Below are 25,906 nucleotides of genomic sequence, written 5' to 3'. Positions count from 1 at the left end.
TAAAGTGCACTTGCCAATTTGTGATTAGGTCTGGAAATGGGGAATTTGTTCATTTAACAGCAGGTGCCACTTGATCAACCACTGCCAATACTTTTGCCGCGGACTTCCCAGGACTCCAGCTGCACTCACGATTCCTTTGGTCAACTGTTCTGCCTCAAGCCTGCTGTAGATGCCACTGAGAATAGAAAGTTGAAACCAGTTGATCCCAGTGAAGCAGCACCACACAGTACTTATTAGAGACTAAGAAGCCAGGGAACACTTTTCCTCATAATTTTTTTTCCTTACCCCAGGGGTTAGTGTGTTTAAAAGAGCACTGTGGGGGTGCTGTTGTAGAAAGCAGCAACTCTGTATCGGATGCCATCCCCTGGTGTTTTAAAGGCAGGATTACAAACATCTAGAGAGGAAAACAAAAAACAAAAACAAAACCCACATTCTCTAATTCATATACAGATCGTTAAGTGAGAATGGAATTTATGCGATGCTTTTCATGATGGGGGATTTTCTGCAAGGGAAGCCGCTTGCCCATTTTGTGGTAACGGCTTGAAATAAAGGAGAGGCCGGAGCAGGCAGCAAGGTTAGCTTGCTCTTGCAGGATAAGCGTTGTCCTTGCTCTCAGTTCCCCTGCTGTGTGGCCTGGTCCCTTCCTTGTTATCACCCTTCACCAGAGCCCTGTGTGAGGGCCCTAATGGAGACTTCAAGAGCTTTTAGTTCACTAGGTACTGCCACCTGCATCCACTCTCTGCTTTTCCTTCCCCTGCAGGTCTCATGTGTCCAGCATAGAAGTATTTTTAAGACCTACTTTGCAAGACGTGACTTCTGTTGGGATTTTAATTTGAAATGAAATTTAAATGTACCAACCCTGGGCATTCCGATCATTTAATAGACCTGTTGGGAGACAAGTAATGAGGAGAAAGCCACTCCGAGTCCATCTTGCTCTTAAGCCTGACAGGTTTTATTTGGAAGTGCTGCCTGTTAGTGAGGGAGAAATGCTCATTTCTTTTTTTTCCTGTGTAAGGAACTGTTGAACTTAATTTTCCCCCCCAGGTGTTAGGAGACAGGAATTAAAAATAGTATGTGACCCAGACACACCAAGCAATACAAAGTTCTTGCTTCTATTATGTTGCTAACTACCTGCATCTTGTTAATAAGGAAGGGAAATGTCTGTTACCTACAAACTGAAGGAGTGAATGATTTGATTGAGGGAAATCTGAAATACCACGAGAATTAGAGAAGTCCTCACAAAAGGGCAAAAGCTTACATTTTTCATTTTTCTCTTTATTTCATGTGACTTTGGCCTTAAAGTCCTCCTTCCCACTTTCTCACACCCCCACTAGCTGAATGTTGTGTCAGATTATTTAGAACTTTCTAAATAGGGGAGAAAATTTTTTTTCCCCAAGTTTGGCTCCTACGTCCTTTGAGACTATACCGTCTGTGCAGGAGAATTTATAAAAAGATGGGAGGTTTGGGTGCCGGTTTCCTTTTTGGAAATGGTATTTACCCAGATCACAGTGAATCTGCCTCTCGCCTTAAATGGCAGAGGATGATAGGGTAGGATCTTCACGTGCTAGAAAGGCAGCTGGAAGCCATGTGGAGACCTCAGGAGACCTGAACTACAAGGGTATCTAAGCAACTGTGGCTGCTGGAGTTGAAGGAGGGAGTCTGAAGTTGCTCTTCTAGGATGCTGGTCGCATCCCCTCAGTCCCCTCCCTGTTGTTTTCAGTCACTTCAGAGAGGTGGTGGCAGCCCGTCTACACCACCAAGCGGGGATTTAATGGAAGCATTTCATTTGCTTCAGCAAGTCAAAAGCTGCCCTTTTGTAAAAACGTGTAAGCATGCCTCTTCATCCTCATTCCCCCACCCCGCTTCTCCTCATTCATTATTTAACCAGCCGCCTGGGTCTTCTTTCTGCTCTCAAGCATGCCAGTCCCTTCCCCACCTGGGGACCTTGGCCCTGTCTGTTCCTCTTGTTTGGCATGCTGTTCTCCAGGGCCTTGCCTGGCTGCCACTGCCTCACTTAGGCCTGAAGCAGAACCTCTGCAGGGGAACCTGTCTACACCAAACTAGTTCATTTTTCTACCTTTTTATTTATTTATTTTTTTTTTAAGAGACAGGGTCTTGCTCTATTGCCCGGGCTGGAGTGCAGTGGCATAATCATAGCTCACTGCAGCCTTGAACTCCAGGGCTTAATCAATTCTCTTGCCTCAGTCTCCTGAGTAGCCAGGACTATAGGCGTATGCCAACATACCCAGCTAATTTTTTTGTTTTTGTAGAGATGGGGGGTCTCACTATATTGCCCTGGGTGGTCTTGAAGTAATCTTCCTGCCTCAACCTCCCAAAGTGCTGAGATTATAGGCATGAGCCACCACACCCTGCCTAAAAAATCTTTTTAAGATGGAAACATATAAAGTATATTGAGACTTTCTTTGGAGAGAGAAAATGCATTAAGCAAAAAAGCATTTAGATTTTTTTGAATTCCCTATTATTAAAAATAAAGTTGTATTAAAATGTCTCGGTAATATATGGTTAAACCATAGTCTCTATTTGTGTTTTTTAAGGAATTTGTAATTAATTGTGGCTTTCTTAAAATCATGACCGACTGAGTTAGATGTGCCACCATCAATAGTTGATAGCTAAAATTAGTAGCAAGTTAACAATTTACTTGTTCATTTCCATGGGCTGCTAAGTAGATTTTGGTCCAATGTATTTTAGGGGAAAAAATGTTACACTGAGAGTCAGGAGACATGGCTGTTGCCCCTTCCTGGCTGTGTGGCCTGGGTCAGTCCCTTCCCTTCTCAGGCCAATTTCTTATCCGTGGAGCAAAGATAATGGACGGGGGGAAGGGGATTCCTTCCAGCTCTCCACAGTCTCTGGTTCTATATTTTGAAGCCATCTGTGGGGCAGTTTTAACAGAAGGTCTGAAAAAATCAGACTTGGTCATGTGCCTCCTATTCCTTTTTTCTCTCTCTCTATTTGCCACATCCTTTCCCCACACTATAGAAGGATCCAGACACTCGAATCATCAAGGCTCTGTTGCTCTCCGCTCTTGCCTGAATATGAAATGAGGGAGTTTGCTGTCCCCTGATGGAGCCTTCGTTCAAGCAAGCCACGGGCTGTGAGGCTTTCACCCTTGGCTTGGCAAGACTGTCAGCACGGTGCTTCCCTTTTAGAGAGCCTAATGCCAACAGAAAGGGCAGTTTTCTAGTAATGGAGGAAAATATCAGTTTTCAAAAATATGGATAATTTTTAAAACCTCCTCTTTTTCCTGTTGCCTAGTTCTCTACCATTAACTCCAGGTCTCTCTTCAGGGTCTAGCAGAGACCCTGCTGACTGTCCTCTCACTCCTTAGAGGCCATCAGGACTCTGAAATCCGAGGATTAATGGCGGCCGGGAGGGGCTGATGGGCAGGGGAGAAAGCCTAGGATTAAGGATGAGGAGACCTGAGCTCCATCTGTGGATCCTCCTCTGCCTGGTCCCAGGCCTTTGAGCAAGCCCCTGGCTGTGTCTGACCTGCCTTCCTCCCTCAGGTTGTGCTGCAGAGGGGCCACAGTACAGATAACACAGCACCCGTCAACAGTGGGATATTAGGAGGAGAAGAAGTCTCCGCTCACCTGCGTGTGCTCTCTCATCCTCAGAGTCCCATGTTTCCAGTTTCTGGAAGGTCCTCCTACCAGCCTGAACTACATGCATTGTATAACACGTAACTGCAATTTAAATCTTGATTTACCCTCAGAGTCTTATTCGGTCATTAAGTCATCATCATAATATCTTGTACCTGTTACTTGTTCAGATTTAATAATTTGTGAAGTGTCCTTTGTGGGGTGACCAACAGTCCTGGGGACTGAGGGGTTTCCCAGGATGTACAATATTAGGTGCTAAAACTGAAAGAGTTCTGGGCACATCAGGATGATGGTCATTCTTCTCTTGGTTCCTCTTTTTCTTTCTGGAAGGAAGTTTCTCTGTAAATTGTTATTTCTTCATCTGTAAAATATCTTGCTAGTCCCGTGGCAATACCGCCTGTCTACCCCAAGTACCCTTTCTCCTGGACTGCTTGTATCCACTTCCCTGTTACTGCTGTGTTTTCTGCCCAGGGCTGAGGCTGTGCAGTGAATGAATCATCTTTCCCCAACCTTGCTTGACATCAGTATCAATTTTAGAAGGTGAGAGTGCCACATTTTCTTAATCCAGTCTATCATTGATGGACATTTGGGTTGGTTCCAACTGGATTAAGAAAATGTGGCACATATACACCATGGAATACTATGCAGCCATAAAAAAGGATGAGTTCACGTCCTTTGTAGGGACATGGAGGCAGCTGGAAACCATCATTCTCAGCAAACTATTGCAGGGACAGAAAACCAAACACTGCATGTTCTCACTCATAGGTGGGAATTGAACAATGAGAACACTTGGACACAGGAAGGGGAACATCACACACTGGGGCCTGTCAAGTGGGGAGGGATAGCATTAGGAGATATACCTAATGTAAATGACAAGTTAATGGGTGCAGCACACCAACATGGCACATGTATACATATGTAACAAACCTGCACGTTGTGCACATGTACCCTAGAACTTAAAGTATAAGAAAAATAAATAAATACATAAAATTCTTTTCAATAACAATGGAAACAAAATTTTCTAAAATTATGAGATCATATCTGTAAAAATTAATGATGATCTTGTGTAAAATTTCATCTATACATAGTGAATTATACTATTAATATTGATGAAAAAATGTAAACATAAATCTAGTGTCTTATAAGCATGAAAAATGTCCAAGTATTTTCAATGTTGTGTTTCTTTTGTCTTAACAAACATGTCCTACAGTGTTATTTGACTATGTGTGAATTTTATTTTTTCAAGACTGTGTTAATATAATCCTCAAACTATTTTAGAAGCAACTAAATAGTGAATAAAGTGAAGAGTAGAAATGTAATCAGAAAAAAAAAAGAAGGTAAGAGTGCTCACAATTGCCTCAAAAAGAAAATGAGGCTTCTTGAATTTGCACTTCAGCATTCTCTACTCAGTGCACCTGTTTGTGTAATTTGCTCTTTTCTTGTTATCATGATGCATGACTGTATTAGTCAGCTCAGGATGCCACAACAAAATACTGTAGACCAGGTGGCTTAAACAACAGGAATTTATTTCTCACAGTTCTAGAGGCTGGGAAGTCCGAGATCAAGGTGTTGGTAGATTTGGTGTCTGCCAAAGGCCAACGTTCTGGTTCATGGATGGTGCCTTCTTCTCACTGTGTCCTCAAATGGTAGAAGGGGCAAGGGGTCAATCCAGGGCTTCTTTCATTAAGGCACTAATCACTTTCATGAGGCTCTGCCCTCATGCCCTAAGCACCTCCTAAAGGCCCCACCTCCTAATACCATCACCGTGGGGGTTAGGATTTCAGTCTGTGAATTTTGAGGGGACACAAACATTCAGACCATAGCAGACCCTCTTCCTAATCTGCAGGTGGTTGTCTTCCTGCTGTGTCTTCATGTGGCAGAGAGAGCAAACTCTGGGCTCTTTCTTTTCTTTTCTTTTCTTTTCTTTTCTTTTTTTTTTTTTTTTTTGAGATCGAGTCTCGCTCTGTTGCCCAGGCTAGAGTGCAGTGGCGTGGTCTTGGCTCACTGCAACCTCTGCCTCCTGGGTTCAAGCAATTCTCCTGCCTCAACCTCCTGAGTAGCTGGGATTACAGGTGCACAACACCACACCTGGCTAATTTTTTGTATTTTTAGTAGAGACGGGGCTTCACCATGTTGGCCAGGCTGGTCTCGAACTCCTGACCTCGTGATCCGCCCACCTCAGCCTCCCAAAGTGCTGGGATTACAGGCGTGAGCCACCACGCCTAGCCCTGGGCTCTTTCTTTTCTTATAAGAACCCTAATCTCATCATGGGATTAGTGTCCTTATAAGACCCTCATGACCTCATCTAAATCTAATTACCTCCCAAATACATTCAAATACCATCATATTGGAGGTTAGGTCTTTAACATATGAATTTGTCAGGGGACACAGTTCAGTCCATAACATGCCTTTGTTTCCATGTCACCAACACACTCTATCTTCTTGGCCTTAATCCATTTCTTCTGGATGGAATGTCTTCCCAAGCTACTTGGATTTTTCTTCTTCAAAGCTACTCAGAAGTGCCATCCTTTATGAAGCTTTCTTGGACAAATACTTTCTTTAGTTTTCCATCCCTAGCACTTGTACACAACAAAAATAGCTGGAGCATTTGTATATATTTATCATGTTTTGGCTAATACCCACTTGTGTGAGCTCCTTGTTGCTTATTAGATTTTAAACACTGTATGCAAGGATCTGCTCCTCCTTTCCTTGTGACTCTCCCAAATCTCACTGCAAGCTGTTCACCACGTGGTTATAAATGAAATGTTTTTGACCAACAGATTGCTCATTTGGTCTCAGCCTTGGTCAGATTCCAAGGAAAACAAATTAAAATAATACTCCCTTCTTCTTTCGCAGAAAGACAAATTTAAATGATATGGTTATATATAATCATTGTGATAACATGATTACATGATTATATCATTATCTAGAAATCATATAGGTTAAGTATTGAAAGGTGCAGTTATGGAGAGATTTGTCCACAGGCTACAGTAGAACTAGTTAGGCTTGTGCTGTTACACACGAAGGTATCAGTGGGTGTCGGGAGAATTCATGTTGACTCATTCGGGGCACATGTAAATCTGGGCCCTGATGAAGTACTTGTTCATGTTCCACTTCCATATTTTAGGTAATTTAAATTTTGTAGTGCAGCTTTTCCCAGTTGTGTCCTTTGCTGGTCTGGAGATGGCAGTAATCATGAACAAATCCACAACCCTTTGGTTCAGTATCCATCATCTGAATTCCTGGGGTTCCCAGTCCTAAATTGTTGCTTTGAGTTTAGAGGGGATTGTAGGTCATGCCCTCTTTGCTCTTCCCTCATCCCCTCATTTGATTAGGTTTCTGCTCAGGCGATCCTTGTCTTGTGATTGCCCTTGTAGAAGGGAGCAGGTGTCAACCTCTGACCTAAAATTTAGTTGTGATATTGAGGCTGAGGGTGCCACCTGTGCACTAAGAAGGTATAAAAAGATCTGTTACTCACAAATCGAAGCTCTCTGAGGAGAGCTGGGCAGGCTCTCAGGCAGGTTAGAAAATGGCTTGAGAGCCTCAAGGGCAACTGGCTTTGGCTTTTTTTTTTTTTTTTTTTTTTTTGAGACGGAGTCTCACTCTGTCGCCCGGGCTGGAGTGCAGTGGCAACAATCTCGACTCACTGCAACCTCCGCCTCCCGGGTTCAAGCGATTCTCCTGCCTCAGCCTCCTGAGTAGCTGGAATTATAGGCGTGCGCCACCAAGCCCAGGTAATTTTTGTATTTTTAGTAGAGACTGGGTTTCACCGTGTGGGTCAGGCTGGTCTCGATCTCCTGACCTCGTGATCCGCCCGCCTCGGCTTTGGCTTTTATGGTGGTCAGTGGTTTGGGCTGGGGCCAAAGCTTGTGTGGTTTGAGCTTCCCACTGGAGCCAAAGAGGTAGCACATGGCTTTCCTGTCACTTCCCTTGGTGTGAGTCAGGAGGGGAGGTGGCAGGGGAGGAGCTTGAAAACTCAGGGAGGCTTTCCTGACCATAACTTGTGAATACCTGATTTTATATTTAAAATCTATCTAATTACAGTTTCTTCTGCTAGATTGTAAGCTCTTTGATTTGTTCAGCATCCAATTTCCACAGCTGAGAACTGCCCCAGGCAGTCAGAGGCTCTCAGTAGATATTTGCTGAAACAATACAAAGGAGATGAAGGAGTGGCCAGAAAAATGGGAGGAGGTGCCTGAAAGCCAACAGAAGAAATGATTCTAAGAAAGGAGGAATGTGGCTGGGAGCCCTGGCTCACGCCTGTAATCTCAACACTTTGGGAGGCTGAGGTGGGCGGACCACCTGAGGCCAGGAGTTTGAGACCAGCCTGGCCAACGTGGACCCTGTCTCTACTAAAAATACGAAAATTAGCCGGGCATGGTGGCATGTGCCTGTAATCCCAGCTACTGAGGAGGCTGGGGTAGAAGAATCGCTTGAACCCAGGAGGTGGAGGTTGCAGTGAGCTGAGATTACACCACTGCACTCCAGCCTGGGTGACAGAGTGAAACTCCGTATCAAAAAAAAAAAAGAAAGATAATTGTGTCAAATGCTGTCAATGGGTCAAGTTAGATGAGCCCAAGATTCCCCAATGGACTTAACAATATGGATACCATTGGTGACCTCAGTAAGACCAGTTTTGGTCTGGAGTAGTGAGCAGAAAAGCCTTATTGGAATGGGTTCAAGAGAGAATGGAAAGATTGAAGTTAGAGTCAGTTAATATGGACAATTCTTCTAGGTACTATAGCAGTAAAAGGGAGTGGAGGCCGAGTGCAGTGGCTCATGGCTGTAATCTCAGCACTTTGGGAGGCCGAGGCAGGCAGATCACCTGAGGTCAGGAGTTCGAGCCCGGCCAACATGGAGAAACCTCATCTCTGCTAAAAGTACAAAAATTAGCTGCGCGTGGTGGCATGCACCTGTATTCCCAGCTATTCAGGGGGCTGAGGCATGAGAATCGCTTGAGCCCAGGAGGCAGAGGTTGCAGTGAGCAGAGATGGCACCACTGCACTCCAGCCTGGGTGACAGAGCGAGAACCTGTCTCAAAGAAGAAGAAAAAAAAAAAAAGGGACTAGAGAAGTGGAGCCCAGAGAGGGTTTTTATTAATATGATAGCATGTTTATATGTTGACGCTGATGGAAACAGTCCAGTGGAAAGGAAGACGCTGAAGATTCAGGAGGGAAGGAGGAAAATTGCTGGGGCCCTGTCCTGGAGTAAGATCCAGTGCTCGAGTGGAAGGGCCGGTCTGTAAGGGATTTGGTCAGTTTGTTCACAACAACGAGAAAAGGCAGAGTGTGTGAACCCACTGCAGGTAAGAGGGGAGATGTGGTTCACTTCTGGTAGCTCCTAGGAAGCTCTGTGGACATTCATGCCAAGTGACTTGTGGTGGCCTCGGCCCTGCGCCTCCAGAGGTGTCGGCTGCATCAGCACCTGCAGGGGGCGCCCTGTGCACGTCCTGTTCTCACATCCTCTTTACTAAACACGGAGATAGATGGAGCAACCCTCCCGCTGCAAACACAGCTCTTCACAGCTCTGACGTTTTTCTACTATACTGCAAACACATCTGTAATCACATTTAAAAATAAATCCACACAAGAAAAATTCACTGTTTCTTGTATAACAAGTGTAACTGTGACTTCTGAGACAACGCTGAACATTTTCTGAAATCTTGTCAAAAACCACACGGGGGCACTATTCCTTTAAAATACACAGTACGGTATGTCCAATTTTGATGACTGAAACAGTGGCATCTTTGAAGTTCAATTTCCTGAAGTTTATTTTCCTTTTAGAAGAGAGGCTGTTGTGTCACAATAACAAAATATTTTCTGTACTTCATAGATGATTTGAGATATTCCAAACTCCTAGATTTTTTATTTAATCTGGCCCCTGGGCAATCATTCTTTTAGTGTTACAGCCACTTCCTTTGCATTTAAGGCACAATGCATATTTGTCTTATTTCTGCTCTTTCTTATGCTTACAATAGAGGCTGTGAGCTAGCAGCGAGTCCAGTTTGTGCTCATATCTGGAATAAGGTTGTCTGAAGTAGACAGTTTGAGAGAAAATGTCGTTGTCTTTCTTGGTTCTCATTCCACCGTTCCCCAGCTCTCGCCTCTGAAGCTTGAGCTATTACACTTTTTATGACAGGAAAGAAAAAATTAAGTCTTTTGAACAATTTCCTGTTTTCAGGAAAGCTATCAAACTTAATTTACACATATGAAAGAAGAGGTTTCAGAGGTAGTGTAGGATTAGGAGAATAGAATTTGCTCACTGTCTAGCAATAGATAAGCTAGTATTTGCAAATAATTTAGCCAAAATGACAAATTAGTTGAAAGTTAATATCGGGCCTCAGATTTCTGGTTTTGCAAAATTTATTTATTATTTTTATTTTTTTGAGACAGAGTCTCACTCTGTTGCCCAGGCTGGAGTACAGTGGTGTGATCTTGGCTCACTGCAACCCCTGCCTCCCAGGTTCAAGTGATTCTCCTGCCTCAGCCTCCCGAGTACCTGGGATTACAGGCACGTGCCACCACGCCTGGCTAATTTTTGTATTTTTAGTAGAGATGGAGTGTCGCCATGTTGGCCAGGCTGGTCTTGAACTCCTGACCTCAGGTGATCTGCCCACCTTGGCTTCCCAAAGTGCTAGGATTACAGGCGTGAGCCACCACGCCTAGCCCTGGTTTTGCAATATTTAAATGTGTGATGCCCACCATATTGTTGCAAACAATGGCAAGTCCCTAAGGGTGTAGCAGCCTTCCATTGTGTAATGATTTGCTTGTGGGGAAATATACAATGATGCTGTGGATCCCTATCATAGTTGGTATGCTATGTTAGTAAGCAACTATTGGGGCAAGTATTTCTTACTGCTTTGTTTCACAATTCAAAGCCAAAGTAATACATAATCTTTTAGTGCCATTTTTTAGGGCTATCCAATAAGAAAATTACATTGTTGTCTATGCAAAGGCTTTATGGAAGCTACTTAAATATAAAAGAAACAGACAAACAGAAATGATCAAGAGTAGCCATTGTCAGCTAAATAATTACAAAATCAGTCTGCATATATTCATTTTTTAACCACTTTGTATTTTGCTCAATTTACCTTGAACTGGTAAACAATTAGTTCTTTTTTTGAGACAGCTCTGTTGCCCAGGCACAGAGGTACAGTGGCACGCATTCATAGCTCACTGCAACCTTAAACTCCTGGGCTTAGTTTGTCCTTCCATCTCAGCCTCCTGAGTAGCTAGGACTACAGGCACGTGACACCATACCTGGCTAATTTTTATTTGTATTTTTTGTAGAGACAGGTCTCATTATATTACCCAGGCTGGTCTTGACCTCCTGGCCTCAAGCAATCCTCCTCCTTCAGCCTCCCAAAGTGTTGGGCTTGCAGGCGTGAGCCACTGTGCCCAGCCAACACTGGTTCTTAAACTAAACATGTTAGGGTGCTCCTGATATTTTAAGCACTCCTACCACAATCCATTCATTGTGCTTCTTCATCTTAAATGTAAATTGTCACCATGGTAAACAGATATGTGCCTCCAGGACACAGTTCTAATTGATCTGTGCTTTTAGAGTTTCTTGTTTTGACTTTGTGATAACATAAATGTTTTCAATTCGTTGAGTTGTACGCCTAAGTTGTTGTTTTCACACATTGCTTCGGTGGAGGAAAGCTATTTAAAATGTAAGTCCAGAAATTCATATTAAATGCTATTACTGGCTGGGTGTGGTGGCTCACGCCTGTAATCCCAGCACTTTGGTAGGCTGAGGCAGGCGGATCACCTGAGATGAGGAGTTGGAGACCAGCCTGGCCAACATGGTGATACCCTGTCTCTACTTAAAATACAAAAATTAGCTGGGCGTGGTGGCAGGCGCCTGTAATCCCAGCTACTTGGGAGGCTGAGGCAGGAGAATTGCTTGAACCCGGGAGGCAGAGGTTGCAGTGAGCTGAGATCGCGCCATTGCATTCCAGCCGGGGGGACAAGAGTGAGACTTTGTCTGACCAAAAAAAAAAAGCACCTCTCACTTTTACGGTGGCCTTTATCCAGAGCGCATTCTCTTTGTCCAAACTTATTTCAGTTTTATTTTTCTTGGGCCTCCTTGATATGGTTTGGCTCTGTGTCCCCACCCAAATCTCATCTCGAATTGTAATCCCCATAATCCCCACGTGTTGAGGGCAGGGCCTGGTGGGAGGTGATTGGATCATGGGGGCAGTATCCCCCATGCTGTTCTCCTGATAGTGAGTTATCACGAGATCTGATGGTTTTATAAGGGGCTCTTACCCTTTCACTTGTTTGTGCTCGCTCATGCTCTCTCTCTTCCCCCTTCCTTTCTCTCACCCCCTCATGGACCCCCTGCACCTGTCACCATGTAAGACATGCCTCTTCCCCTTCTACCATGATTGTAAGTTTCCTGAGGTTTTCCCAGTCTTGCAGAACTGTGAGTCAATGACACCTCTTTTCTTTATAAATTACCCAGTCTTGGGTATGTCTTTGTAGCAGTGTGAAAACAGACTAATATGTTCCTTAACTTTTCCAAGTGTAAATATTGTCAAACAACCTCAAAACAACCCTAAATTCCTTTACCCTGATCATCTGGGTTTTAATGATTACAGTTTTGAGTCCTGTACATGATCAAGTAGGAGAGTTGTGGCAACAACATTGTAGGTGATGGGGGTGCTGTGGATCCCAGTAGAATATTATGCTTTCTATGATTCTTTGCTTTATGTTATTTCATTAAGGAAAAATCATACCAAGAGTCTAAGTGTAGGAGGTAAACATGCATATTGCATGGAGGACTGAAACAAATGTAGAGATTGCAGGTCATTAAAATAAAGCCCATGCTTTCGTATATGCAAATCAAGCATATTTTAAAAATAGAGATCTGTGACATGCTGGTATCTCTTTGAAAGGAATATTGCACTTCTTGTCCAACTTAAAACCAGGGAATTTTAGAAAAATTGTAGCAATAGGGATTATTCTTGATTACTGCTGATGTTTTTATATTGTGTTTGACTAAATTAGTTGCTTTTTGCAAAGCACTCTGAAGCACTTCGCTTTTATATCATTGGAGACATGGATTGTGTCCTTTGTGAAATAGTTATTGGTTTCACATTCCCTCCACCACTTCTCCTTGATGGCTACGGGCTGAGTATGATTCATCTCTGTCCTTCACTCATGGTATAATGAATGGTGAACAGTAAACAAACAGGGCTTATTTGTAGGAGTGAAATTAAGGGTAGCAGTTTGAGTGGTGTATATTTGGTTGAAGATGATGCAGAGGTGGTTGAAGGGGAGAGATGCAAGTAATAGGCAATAAGCCGATTGCCAAAGAGAGGAGGAGAGAGGTTCTTTGTTTCCCCAAGGCTTACTTGATGAGCTCATGTGCAGTCACTACAACTGTGAAGGAACTTATCTGTAAATGTGCTTTTTAATACAACTTTGGATGCTGGATCAAAATGACATGTTTAAAGATTAGACGCTTATACTTCTTGAATGTATATAGCCTTGACTTTAAATACCTATTCTAGTAGAGAAAATCTTTTCAAGAAGAAGATAAAACGTAAAAAGCCAATGTTCAGCAAGATAAAAGAATAAGCTGTATCCTTTCTTAAGAGTTAGATGTGAGAGTTGAATTAAGAAAGAAAAAAAGAAACATCAAATTACTTTTAGCTTTTCAGTTTTCTTCCTTTCATGTTTAAGATTCAGTGTCTAGTTCCTTGTGAGTTGTCTCCAATTCTGTGAAGTCTAAATCTAATGGTATTTTTATCCTTGATAAAGCATCATTGATTTACATACGTATGAGAAGGGGAAAAAGAGACATTGTTTTATTATTTAGAATGAATGTCAAATATTTATGCAAGTTTTGACAGTATTTTCAAAAGCAAAATATTTTCATATGAAGAGATTTTTCACCATGTTTTCACCAATAGTCTACTGAAATTTTGAGGCAAATCAAATGTTAAGAGATTATGGGTTGATGCAATGAATATGCCTGTTTTTATTGAGTCAAACTTTGGCTGCCAGAAGGGTAACATTACTCCTTATTTGAAGTTTTAACCCTTTGAGTATCTGACCTATAATTTTTTTAAATTTGAAATCATTCTAAAATGGATTATGTGTTTTTCTGCTTGCTTAAATATAAGGTAGAGAATATAGTTTGAAAAAAAATTGTTTTAATGTTTCAGAGTTATGTATTTATTTATTTTGAGATGGAGTCTTGCTGTGTCACCAGGCTGGAGCGCAGTGATGCAATCTCTGCTCACTGCAACCTCCGCCTCCCGGGTTCAAGCGATTCCCCTGCCTCGGCCTCCAGAATAGCTGGGACTACAGGCGCTCGCCACCACACCTGGTGTGGTGTATTTTAGTAGAAACGGGGTTTCACCACGTTGGCCAGGATGGTCTCAATCTCCTGACCTCGTGATCCACCCGCCTCAGCCTCCCAAAGTGCTGGGATTACAGGTGTGAACCACCGCACCCAGCTAGAGTTATTTTTTTCTTCAGTCTCTGTGCTAGTAGTTTCCGAGTTATTTTAAGCGTTGATTTTGGGGATAAGCCTTGAATGCAGGTGGAGGATATTAAATATTTACATTTATGTAAAGCACAATTTAGGTGCCCGAGGTTAGGTTTTTGCCTGCTTCCAGCAGTGTTTCAGACAAGGGAATGCCTTGTGCTTTCCTTTCCCCGGCTTCCTCCTCTGGGTGTGCTCTCAATTCTAACCCCGTTACCAGCATCGCCACCTGTTAATTATCACTGTTGGTTATGCTCTTCAACTTCAGTCTTTCCCTGTCCTCTGAGAACTTCTCCTTTGGCTTCATGGCACCAAAGTACATCCCATTCTGAAATCAAAAGAATAGTAAACACAAAAACCTACTAACTCCCCACAATTTCCTTCTCAAACTACTGCTGGATCTTTCTTTTCTTTCTTTATCATCAGACATCACAAAAGAGAAATCTTCTACCCATTTCCTTTATTTCCTCACGTCCAATTCACTTCTCAGACAGGAGCACCTGGCTTCTTGCCCCCTCACCCTATACTGAAATGCTCTCTGAAGCATCATCACAACTTCATTGCCAAATTGGAAGCCTTTAGAGAATGGCACTTATCCAGTTCTCACCCAGGAGCCATTAATGGGAGAAATCCTGGAAGAATAGGGGAAGAATGCCACCCACCATCTTGATCCCATCAAAACCCAAATGGACATAGAAATGCCTGATAGCCTCTTTCAATTAAACTGTCATGGCCCCAGCATCTCAAATCGATGCTGTTGGGTACTTCTTAGTCTGCAAAGGCTCTCCTTTCCCTAAAGGGTAGAGCCCACAATAAACAGGACTGGACCAGGATCTCTAGGTTCCAGAGACATTGATTTGGGAATGTACACATAGGCTGCAGGGTGAAAATCCTGGAAGTGGAGGCATAGAAACACAGTGGTTTTTCCTTGAGTTTTTAAGAGCTTCATCTGCTTCTGGGCCTTCTTTGCCCTCTCACTCTCATTCTGACTGCCTCTCAATCTAAAGATTCCTCTTCCTCTTTTGGCAACCATAGGTACAGCTGACTTGCCCATATACCCACTGCACAGTCCTCCTGCCTGTCTCAGTTGTGTGAGTTGTTTGACATTTCCAGAATAATTAATAAAAGAAAGAGAAAACTAATTTCATTGAGGAGCACCTCTGTCCCTGAGCCTTTGTATAAATGTATATACACAATTATGTGTATGCACACACACATTTGGTGGTCATCTTAACTCTGTTCAGTCCACTTGCCATTTAACCTCTTTTAACCTTTATTTCCATTTTTTGGGGAGATATCATCTTTCTTGTTATCAGAAAACACTTTTATTCACTTATTTTTTCCGTTAGTCTTTCCAGTCATCCACCTGTTCATGTATCCACTTATCCATCCATCCACCATCCACCCACTCATTCATCCATCTGCCCACCCACCCATCCACCCATCATTCACCAATTAAACATGTACTGAGTAGCTATGATGTGCCATTACTGCCAGATATAGGGAGCTCAAAATCTGAGAATAATTTCCCTTCATTTTGCTATCTCATCTATCATACACTCATATACATCTAACTTTTTGAATTAGTGCTAACTGACCATCAAACGTAGAAGTGAGATTGAAAAGATGCTTATATATAAGATCATATTCCTGAGGCATAGAGGTAATCAGAAATGATCTGAAATAACTTCTATCATCCAATTTTACTGAAGGCAAAGAAGTGTGGTTGAAAATTACTATCTGGGTAACTGTCCTGAAAGGCCTGTGCACAAGTCAAAAATACTCTCAGGTGCAAGCACTAATGCAATACTGGTCTTTATTCAACATGAAAGCCTGGCCACTGTGCCATTGTGAATGCAACCTACATTTTCCAAGCAGCAGAGGACAAAACACACTGTGGTGTGTGAATTCCCCTCTCCTGGCCCCCAGATACCAATCACTAACCAAACCTTTCCCCCTTGACTTCACCCACCCCCATCAATAAATTTCTTAGCAGCTCTCTTGCCTAAGAGAGAATGACCTCATACTAGCTTTTCAGCACTCCAGTTTTTGTAGTATCAATTATTTAAATGGAAAGTTTCCTCAAATATTTGATACCTTTGTCTGTGTGTGTGTGTGTGTGTGTGTGTGTGTGTGTTTTGAGACAGGGTCTTACTATGTTGCCCAGGGTGGAGTGCAGTGGTGCAATTATGGGTCACTGCAGCCTGGCTCTCCCGGGCTCAAAGTGATTCTCCTATCTCAGCCTCCAAAGTAGCTAGGACTACAGGTGCTTGCCACCACGCTCAGATAATTTTTGTATTTTCTGTAGCAATGGGGTTTCACTATGTTGCCAGGGCTGGTCTCGAACTCTTGGGCTCAAGTAACTCTCCTGCCTCAGCTTCCCAAAGTGCTGGGACTGCAGGCATGAACCACTGTGCTTGACCTTTTTATTTGTCTTTTGAAAATAGTCTGCAAAATCTAATAAATATTTGACTACCCCTTCTTTTTGTTTTTGGATGGTGCAACATCAGGAATATTATTATTATTATTTTTACCACGTTATGAGAAATAGTCCTTTTTTTCAGGTGTGTAGAGGGCTCAGGGTCTCAACCCTGATGCTCCCAGGTCTTAGTGCTTCTTTGAATGTTGGTATTTTTAAACTTTCTTCTCTTGCCTCCTCCCTCCCTTTTCTACCTGCTTTCTTTCATTGCTGGCTGTGTTTCTGCCTGAGGTCCCTAATTCCTCCAGCCCATTTCATCTTTTGTTTATTTTCGCTTCTAATCTTCTGTGATTTTGAAAACTAAATAGCTTCTTAGAATTGTGTGTAAAAAAGGCCGGGCATGGTGGCTCACACTTGTAATCCCAGCACTTTGGGAGGCTGAAGCGGGTGGATCACCTGAGGTCAGGAGTTCAAGACCAGCCTGGCCAACATGGTGAAACCCCGTCTCTACTAAAATTACAAAAATTAGCTGGGCATGGTGGTGAGCACCTGTAATCCCGGCTACTCTGGAGGCTGAGGCAGGAGAATCGCTTGAACCCAGGAGGCAGAGGTTGCAGTGAGCCAAGACCATGCCATTGCACTCCAGCCTGGGCAAAAGAGCGAAATTCCATAAAAAAAAAAGAAAAGAATTGTGTGTAAAATTAAAAGAAACAGTCTTTGATCAAAGGTCTGAGGAAATTCTAAGGAATACAGTATATGAGAGCTTTATTGTTTTAGGACTTTTATTTTCTGCTTTTCTCTTTTTTTTTTTGTTGTTGAGACGGAGTCTCACTCTGTCACTCAGGCTGGAGTGCAGTGGCATGATCTCGGCTCACTGCAACCTCTGCCTCCTGGGTTCAAGTGATTCACCTGCCTCAGCCTCCCAAGTAGCTGGGACTACAGGCACCCGCCACCATGCCCGGCTGATTTTTTGTATTTTTAGTAGAGATGGGGTTTCACCGTCTTAGCCAGGATGGGTCTCGATCTCCTGACCTCGGGATCCGCCCGCCTCAGCCTCCCAAAATGCTGGGATTACAGGCGTGAGCCACCGCGCCCGGCCCATCTCATTTTTTTAAGGCTTCCTTCTGTTTCTCAGGTTTTCTCTGGATCAGTGAAGTTGATTTATCTATCTGCAATGACTCATTAGCTGAGTTTGAATAAATTGTTATTTTTCAAATGTGGTCTGCAGAACTACTTGTGTCAGAACCACTAGGGGTGCTGTTAAAATGCAGGTGCACAGGTCCCTTCTCAGATACGTTGAATCAGAATATCTGGATGGAAGACCCAGGAATATACATTTTCATTAAACAGCCTTAGTTATATGTATGCCCTAGAGCTTGATAACTATTGGAGTGGGTGCTGTGCCTGTGTTCTTAATCTGGGCTAAGCTTGTCTCATGTTTGTAGTTGTAAATTAAGATGAAATGCCTGGAGAAGGAAGCCTAGTGGTTAAAAGTGCAAACTCTAAAGAGCAACACCTGGGTTAAACTTGCAGTTCTACCTTTAACAACTAAATGATATTGGGCAATCTGTGAAAACTCTCTTTGCCTCATTTCCCCTGTGTATAAAAGGAAGATGATAATAAAGCCTGATTCATAGGGCTGTTGCATTAATATAGAAAAATAATTTAAAACAGTAAGCACACAGAATGGCAGCTATTATTACTATGAATATTATATTTTTGTATAGTGGCTGTACCATATATTTTGTGGCTTATCCGAAGCACAGTTATTGTGGCTCTACATAAAGATATCCTCCTAGCCACATTTGTGCCTGAGCGTGCAAACGTAGACATGCATGCCTGGAACGGTGAGTGATGTATCGTGACCTGGCTTCAGATAACGTGACTGTGGGTCATGGTCATGTCAACATTGCTCCTATCTCTTGGAAAGCAAAATGTCTAAATTCAAAGGAATATCACTGTCATGAGCCTTAATTTTTTTTAATAGATTGGTTTAGCCTCAAACGATGAGACTCATCAAAGGATTCAAACCAGAGTAGTGGCTTTGTTTTAAGTTGAGACAGTGAGACAGGGTTCTTCTGTGTGCATCAAATTATACAGTAATTTTGATGGAATCCCATACAGAAGTCTACTGGTTTCTATGGCAACCTGAATTCAAAATAGGATGTTAGAAGCCTCTTCAGAGTAGAAAAAGCAAGTTTCATTCTTTCTGTAGTTATGGAACATATAGTTTGTACAAAGTATTTTCTAAATGGAACTTTTGTCTTTTTACTTTCTTGCCATTAATAATTTTAACAATTTTGTAGTACTGCATTCCTACATTCTTTCTGTATCTCTGAATGAGAATCTCAAGCCACCCTAAAGTGCTTGTTTTGCTATGAATAGCTGATGTTTCACTTTGTCGTTTATAGCAGATGCACTATATAGTTTTTACTTTTCTAATACTATAGCAATTGGTAATAGGAGAGAAAACCTGTTACAGAATTCCTAGGTTAGCAAGTCAGCCTATTTTTAGTGGCAACTACAAAAAAAAGCTTTTGCGTAAATACCTAATTTTTGTAAACGATGTATTTTTAGCACATATCTGTCTGGAAGTATTTTAAAATTGGATCTCGTAATCCTGAAGACAAAGTCTGTTGCAGATATTGACTAACTGGGTGGGCAGTTCCAAGTATAAAGGCTATGTTGGGCTGTGGTAACAAACACAGTGGAAAGTCTCAGTGGCTTATGACAACCAGAGTTTATTTCTCATTTGTTGCTTCTGCCCGTGCAGGTTTACTGTAGTTGCTCTCTCTGTCATCTTCGCTCTGGGACCTGGGCTGACAGAACAGCCCCTATCTGGAACACTGCCCGGCAAAGGGAGAAGAGTGCAATGAAGCAACTACTGACTCTTAAATCTTCCATCCAGAAGTAACGTACATTTTTGCTCACAATTCATTTTCCAAAGCAAATCCCATGTCTTGCCTGAATCCATTGGTTAGGTAAATAGAATCCCTCTGCAAGGCAGTGTGTCCCCAGTTGTGCTAAGAAGATGTGCCATAGGGGGACACTAGAACTTACAGATGATATATTTTTAGTTAAAAAAAATTGTTTTGGCTGGGCATGGTGGCTCACGCCTGTAATCCCAGCACTTTGGGAAGCTGAGGTGGGTGGATCATGAGGTCAGGAGTTCGAGACCAGCCTGGCCAACATAGTGAAACCCCGTCTCTACTAAAAATCCAAAAATTAGCTGGGCATGGTGGCGGGTGCCTGTAATCCCAGCTACTCAGGAGGCTGAGGCAGGAGAATCACTTGAACCCTGGAGGCGGAGGTTGCGGTGAGCCGAGATCGTGCCACTGCACTCCAGCCTGGGCAACAGAGCGAGACTCCATCTCAAAAAAAAAAAATTGTTTTAGAGGTGCTGGTTGAGGGGAGTAATGGTGGAATCACAGAATTTTAGAGCTGGAGGAAATGGTTCATGAAGGTTTTGGGGCTTACATTCTTTTCTTTCTAGAATTAGGAAGCTTGGTTTCATGGTTTTGACAAACGAGCACTTTGTACAAGAGAGCACATTCAGCCTTGGTTTACAGCGCCTTGCCTTCCATTTGTTTTTGTCCTTTTGATTAACATTCCTTTGGATAATTAAATTAAGTTAAACATTTAAATTTCTAATAGTGGAACACAGTGACTGCATAAATGTTTTCATAATTGGTTCTCTGAGGCACAAAACTTACAAGAAATGAAAATGGCCAACAAGACTTTTTTTTAAGACAGTTTTTCCATATTAATTTAAAATTATGATTTTTTTTTTTTTTGAGACAGAGTTGCGCTCTGTCACCCAGGCTGGAGTGCAGTGGTGCAATCTCAGCTCACTGCAACCTCCACTTCCTGGGTTCAAGCGATTCTCCTGCCTCACCCTCCTGAGTACCTGGGATTATAGGTGCCTGCCACCACACCCAGCTAATTTTTGTATTTTTAGTAGAGATGGGGTTTCACCATGTTGGCCAGGCTGGTCTCGAACTCCTGGCCTCAAGTGATGTGCCCACCTCAGCCTCCCAAAGTGCTAGGATTACAGGTGAGAGCCACCATGTCCAGCCAAAAATTATGATTCTTTAGATTCTACGCAAATTATCTGTAAGAAGAAAGCTTTAGAAAGAGGCCTGTACTGGACCAAGAATGACTCTTTTGTTTTTGTTTTTGAGATGGAGTCTCACTTTGTCACCCAGGCTGGAGCGCAGTGGTGTGATCTTGGCTCACTACAATCTCTGTCCCCTGGGTTTGAGTGATTCTCCTGTCTCAGCCTCTGGAGTAGCTGGGATTACAGGTGTCCGTCACCATGCCCAGCTGATTTTTGTAATTTTAGTAGAGATGGGGTTTCACCATGTTGGCCAGGCTGGTTTCAAACTCCTGAGCTCAAGTAAGTGATCCTCCTGCCTCGGTCTCCCAAAGTGCTGGGATTGCAGGCATGAGCCACCACATCAGGCTAAGAAGGACTCTTTTGGACCATGGAGTGTTGCTCACTACATCCCATCATGTAACAGGGTAGTGTCATTGTTTTCCCAGCCAGCTAGGAAAGGTGTGACTTGCTTAACCAGTGAACTGACCTGCAGAACAGATGGAACTGCTAAGTGAAAGAGCCGTGTTGGCTCTGGAGACCTAGAAGCATTTCATCCATATGGAGCAAAGCTGGGAAGTCTGTAAAAGGTATGCTGGGAAGATTACATTCTTCCGAAGGAAGGCACTATCCCATCCCATAATGAGTAGTAGCAGAGTGAGCCTCCTTACCAGAGTTACCAGGGCTTTGCGATTATAACACAACAGCTCTCACATTCTTGCTGATTCCTTGGTAATGGTTGCATGAAGAGGTTCAAAGAGGACCTCTCTATATCCTGGGGGAAGGGTCCTTTGCACGGGGCATGCTTTTGTGCAGGATCTCGTGCTCAATTTGGCCCCCTGCGTATCCCCTCTGCAGAGCCTCTCTGCTATGTGAACCCCAGGATTCCATCATGGGACTCACAAGGACACAGGCTAATGGGCTCCAGCAGGTCTAAAGGCACCTCTCCTGCCCTCCCTCCGAGCAACCTAGTACTCTCTGTCATGGGCATTTCTGTGTACCTGCTGCTTGATGACATTCCGTATTCATAATGATATCCTTGAAGTGCTGACAAAGACTTCTGTATGTTTGGTGTGAATTAGACATGTTTATAATTTGCTGTCTTGAAATTGTGTAATCCTCATATGGCCTGTGTATATTCTGTCCAAATGAGTTATGTGATAAAACTCTGTACAGTCATGTACCACTTAGTGATGGGGAGACGTTCTGAAAAACACATCATTATAGGTGATTTGGTCATTGTGTGAACATCACAAAATGCACTTACACAAACCTAGATGGTGTAGCCTACCACACACTTAGGCTATGTGGTATAGCCTGTTGCTCCTAGCTACAAACCTGTGCAGCATGTGAGCTACTGGATATTGTAGCCAATTGTAACACAATAGTAAGTGTTTGTATATTTAAATGTATCTACACATAGAAAAGGTACAGTAAAAGTATGGTGTAAGAGATTAAAATGGTACACTTGTCTAGGGCACTTATTGCAAATGGAGCTTGCAGGATTGGAAGTTGCTCTGGGTGAGTCAGTGAGTGAGTCCTGAGTGAACGTGAATGCCAGGGACATTACTGTCCACTACTGTAGACTTTATCCCTGTACAATTAGGCTACACTACATTTTTAAGAATTTTTTCTTCAATAATAAATCAACCTTAGCTTAGTATAACTTTTTTACTTTATAAACTTTAACTTCTTTTTAACCTTTTGACTGTTTTGGAATAACACTTAGCTTAAAACACAAACACATTATACTTCTGTGTAAATATATTTTCTATTTATCCTTATATGAACTTTTTTCTTTTACTTTTTACACTTTTTTTTTTTTTTTGAGATGGAGCGTCGCTCTGTCTTCCAGGCTGCAGCACAGTGACACGATCTTGGCTCACTGCAACCTCCGCCTCCCGGGTTCAAGCAATTCTCCAGCCTCAGCCTCCTGAGTAGCTGGGAATACAGGTGCCCGCCGCCACGCCCGGCTAATTTTTGTATTTTTAGTAGAGGCTGCGTTTCACCATGTTGGTCAGGCTGGTCTGGAACTCCTGACTTCAGGCGCTCCACCTGCCTCGGCCTCCCAAAGTGCTGGGATTACAGGTGTGAGCCACCACGCCTTTTAATTAAAAACTAACACACAAGCATGCACATTAGCCTAGGTCTCCACAGAGTGAGGCTCATCAGTCTCGCTGTCTTCCATCTCCACATCTTTTCGCACTGGAAGGATCTCAGGGGCAGTAACCCACATGGAGCTGTCATCTGCTATGACAATGATGCCTTCTTCTGGGATACCTCCAGAAGGACCTGCCTGAGGCTGTTTTACAGTTAACTTTTTTTTTTTTTTTAATAAATAGAAGGAGTATACTCTAAAATAAAAATAAAAAGCCTAGTTTAGTAAATATATAAACCAGAAACACAGTTGTTTATTGTCAATATGATGTACTGTACATAACTATCTGTGCTATACTTTTATATGACTGACAGCACAGTAGGTTTGTTTACACTAGCATCGTCACAAAAACCTGAGTAATGCCTCATGCTATGAAGTTAGGACAGCTACAGAGTCACTAGGTGATAGGAATTCTTCAGCCCCATTACAGTCTTATGGGACCACTGTCATATATTTGGTCCATGGTTGACCAAAATGTTGAAACATCATTATGTGGCGCATGACTGTATTAGGATGTTCTGTCCACTGAACCTGCCCTGGAGTCACCCCAAAAGTGGCAGCAGGGGAATTCCTGCAAGGGACTGTCTCAGACCAGAAATGGGACCGTTTGGGATTCCAAAGAAAGAAGCATCAAACACCAGGGTGATCAGTCAAAAACATTTATTAGGGGGAACTTAGGGAGCTTTAGCATCTTTGTGACAGACAGTGAGAAAAGAGATATTCTACCCAGGTATGTTGCTACTGGGACGGCAGGGTTCTATGAGGGTTCAAAGAATTTGGCTCAGGGTCAGGGGTAATTTCTGTGTTTAGCAACATAGTTGATTTCTCCGTGCTTCAAGCAATAACCTCAACAACTTTATCAGTGCCTGGGAATGTTCAAGACCCCAGCTTGGGTTCGAGCCCAGAGTGGAAAACATGCAGGTGTCCAGGTCACAGAGTGATCAAGGCACCGTGTTTCTTGGTCAGGACCTCAAAGGAAGAAGGTGGAGGGACCTGGGGGTTACTGGAGGGTTCTATACCAGATAACTGAGCCTGGAGTTTCAGTTAGAAGGGAGCTGAAAGTTTTTCTTGAATTCTAGATGACTTCATCTCAATGATAGGTGGGCTCTCACCTGTACAGATGCAGACCTTGCTACCTCATGAGACAGTGACTCTTCTGGAATAATTGTTCTGTGTTCTTCATTGTATTGAACCTACCTCTGTCTCCCTCTAGTTTTGATTTTCTTCGACCCTATTTCTGTTTTCTTTGATCACCCAAGGGTGTCTGTTCCTTTTTCTACCTTGGGAGCTCTTAAATATGAGGGGAGCAGTCATATCTCCTTGTAACATCTCATCTCTGGGCCACGTTTTCTCCCTCACCATCTCTTACAGGAAACGTTTTAGTTTTGCCTCCCTGCTGGTTGCTGTCCTTGAGGTGTGTTCCCACAGATCCCCAGCCTCCACCCTATACAGTGCTGGGCTGGGAACAGATGCAGGACCCCAGTGCCAAACGCCGCCGGGCCATCATTGACCCTGGTTGGGCAGGGTGGCCCTCATGGAAGGGGCCCAGGCTTTGCCCTCAGATGCACCTGGGCTCAAGATCCAGCTCTGCCACTTGCTAGCAGAGTGACCCATGCACCGTTTATCTGTTCTTCGAATCTCAAGTTTATTCATCTTGTAGAGAGGGAACAATAATTCCTCCACTTAAGGGGTGCTATACACAATAAGGCAATGACATGTGTGAAGTCTCTAATATCAGTGTATGGCAAATAATCTTTTCTCAGTAAATATTTGCCTTCCCATTGCCCTAGTCATTATATTTTTATTAGTTCAGTATAATATTATGTCAGCTTTGTGGTTAGCCATATCTCCCCTGTGCCACACCGAACTTGTAATGATCTCAAGTCCCAAAGCCTTCCACGTTAAACCCGTCTCTTCTATCCTGCCAGTGTAGCAAGTATTCCATGGAGATAATAACACGCTTGCCATGTCTAGAACATAGTACAAAGAAGAAATGCTAGCTGTAAAACTTTATTATGACTACCTGTTTTAGTGCAGATTGATTTTAATGGTGCTTACTTCCCTAACATCTACATTTTGATATCAACAAAGTGTGTCATATTCAACGAAGAAGCTTATTGGAGAAATTTAGAGAGAAAGAAGTCACCCCTGTTAGAATGAGCTTAGTTAAAGGTTAGCGCAACATCTGGAGGAAGGTAGTGGCCTCCCAATAAAACTTAGCTCCCTATGGTCCTTGACTTTGGTTGTGACTCAGTATTAATGTTTTCTTTTAAGAACAGATATAACTTAAATGTTAATCTCAAGAAAGTACATTTCAACACAGGGAAGGCAGAGAAGAGAGTGCTGGAAGATTTCTCACTGTTGCTGTGTCCCCAGCCCCAGTTTCTTGACGCCTTTTTAGCAGGTGGCTCCCTCCTCTAGGGAAAAAGGTGAGGAGCCAGTTAGAAAGCAGAGGCCTGTCCCCGCAGAGGGAGGCCAAACTGACCTCAGATTCAGAGACAGCCAGCTGTGGACCGTCTTTCCTCAGAGCTACAAATGTGTCATTTTGATTCCATAGGGTCCTGGAGGCACCCGTGCATTGCACTGCAGGAAATTAATGGCACAAAGGTTACTTCCTGCACGTTTGCTGCTGAGGGTCATCTTGATACCTGCCTCTTCTCTGTCTCCCCTTCTTTAATAAACTTTGTGTTTCAGAGTTGTTTTAGATATACAACCAACTGTGACAGTGGTACAGAGAGTTCCTCTATACCCTGCACCGAGTTTCCCCCGTTAGTAACATCTTACCTTACTATGGTACATTTGTCACCATCGGTAAACTGATATTGATATGTTCTTATGAAATAAGTCCATTCTTTGTTCAGATTTCCCTACCTTTTACCTAATGACCTTTTTTCTGTCCCATGATTTCATCCAGGATACCACATGACAGTCTCACCCAGGATACCACATGACATTTTGTCATTATGTCTCCTTAGGCTCCTCTTGACTGTGACAGTTTTCTGTGCCCTATTTTTCAATCTGCTTTGAGCTACTTTGCAAGAGATGCTTTTTCCTTTCTTTCTTTCTTTCTTTTTTTTTTTTTTTTGAGACAGGGTCTCACTGTTTCCCAGGCTAGAGTGCAG

The 25,906-nt window shown here is 42.9% G+C and overlaps 1 protein-coding gene across 12 annotated transcripts in view, besides 2 other annotated features; it reads left to right on the top strand.

The window, feature by feature from the left end:
* The window catches only part of CACNB4 (calcium voltage-gated channel auxiliary subunit beta 4), a 266,397-nt gene that overhangs the window by 64,110 nt on the left and 176,381 nt on the right, over window positions 1-25,906 (top strand). The window lies entirely within an intron of this gene.
* Window positions 153-728: an enhancer, noted in NCBI's record as "NANOG hESC enhancer chr2:152890844-152891419 (GRCh37/hg19 assembly coordinates)". NCBI's record gives its function as "activates a minimal SCP1, AML or CMV promoter by ChIP-STARR-seq in naive H9 embryonic stem cells {active_cell/tissue: H9 hESC(naive)}" and the evidence as "EXISTENCE:reporter gene assay evidence [ECO:0000049][PMID:30033119]".
* Window positions 8,858-8,927: an enhancer, noted in NCBI's record as "active region_16642". NCBI's record gives its function as "activates an Ori minimal core promoter by ATAC-STARR-seq in GM12878 lymphoblastoid cells {active_cell/tissue: GM12878}" and the evidence as "EXISTENCE:reporter gene assay evidence [ECO:0000049][PMID:35858748]".

Source organism: Homo sapiens, chromosome 2, assembly GCF_000001405.40.
Source record: "Homo sapiens chromosome 2, GRCh38.p14 Primary Assembly".
NCBI classification, from domain to species: domain Eukaryota; kingdom Metazoa; phylum Chordata; class Mammalia; order Primates; family Hominidae; genus Homo; species Homo sapiens.
Note: the sequence above shows the minus strand (reverse complement) of the source record. Positions and strands in the feature narration are given on the sequence as shown.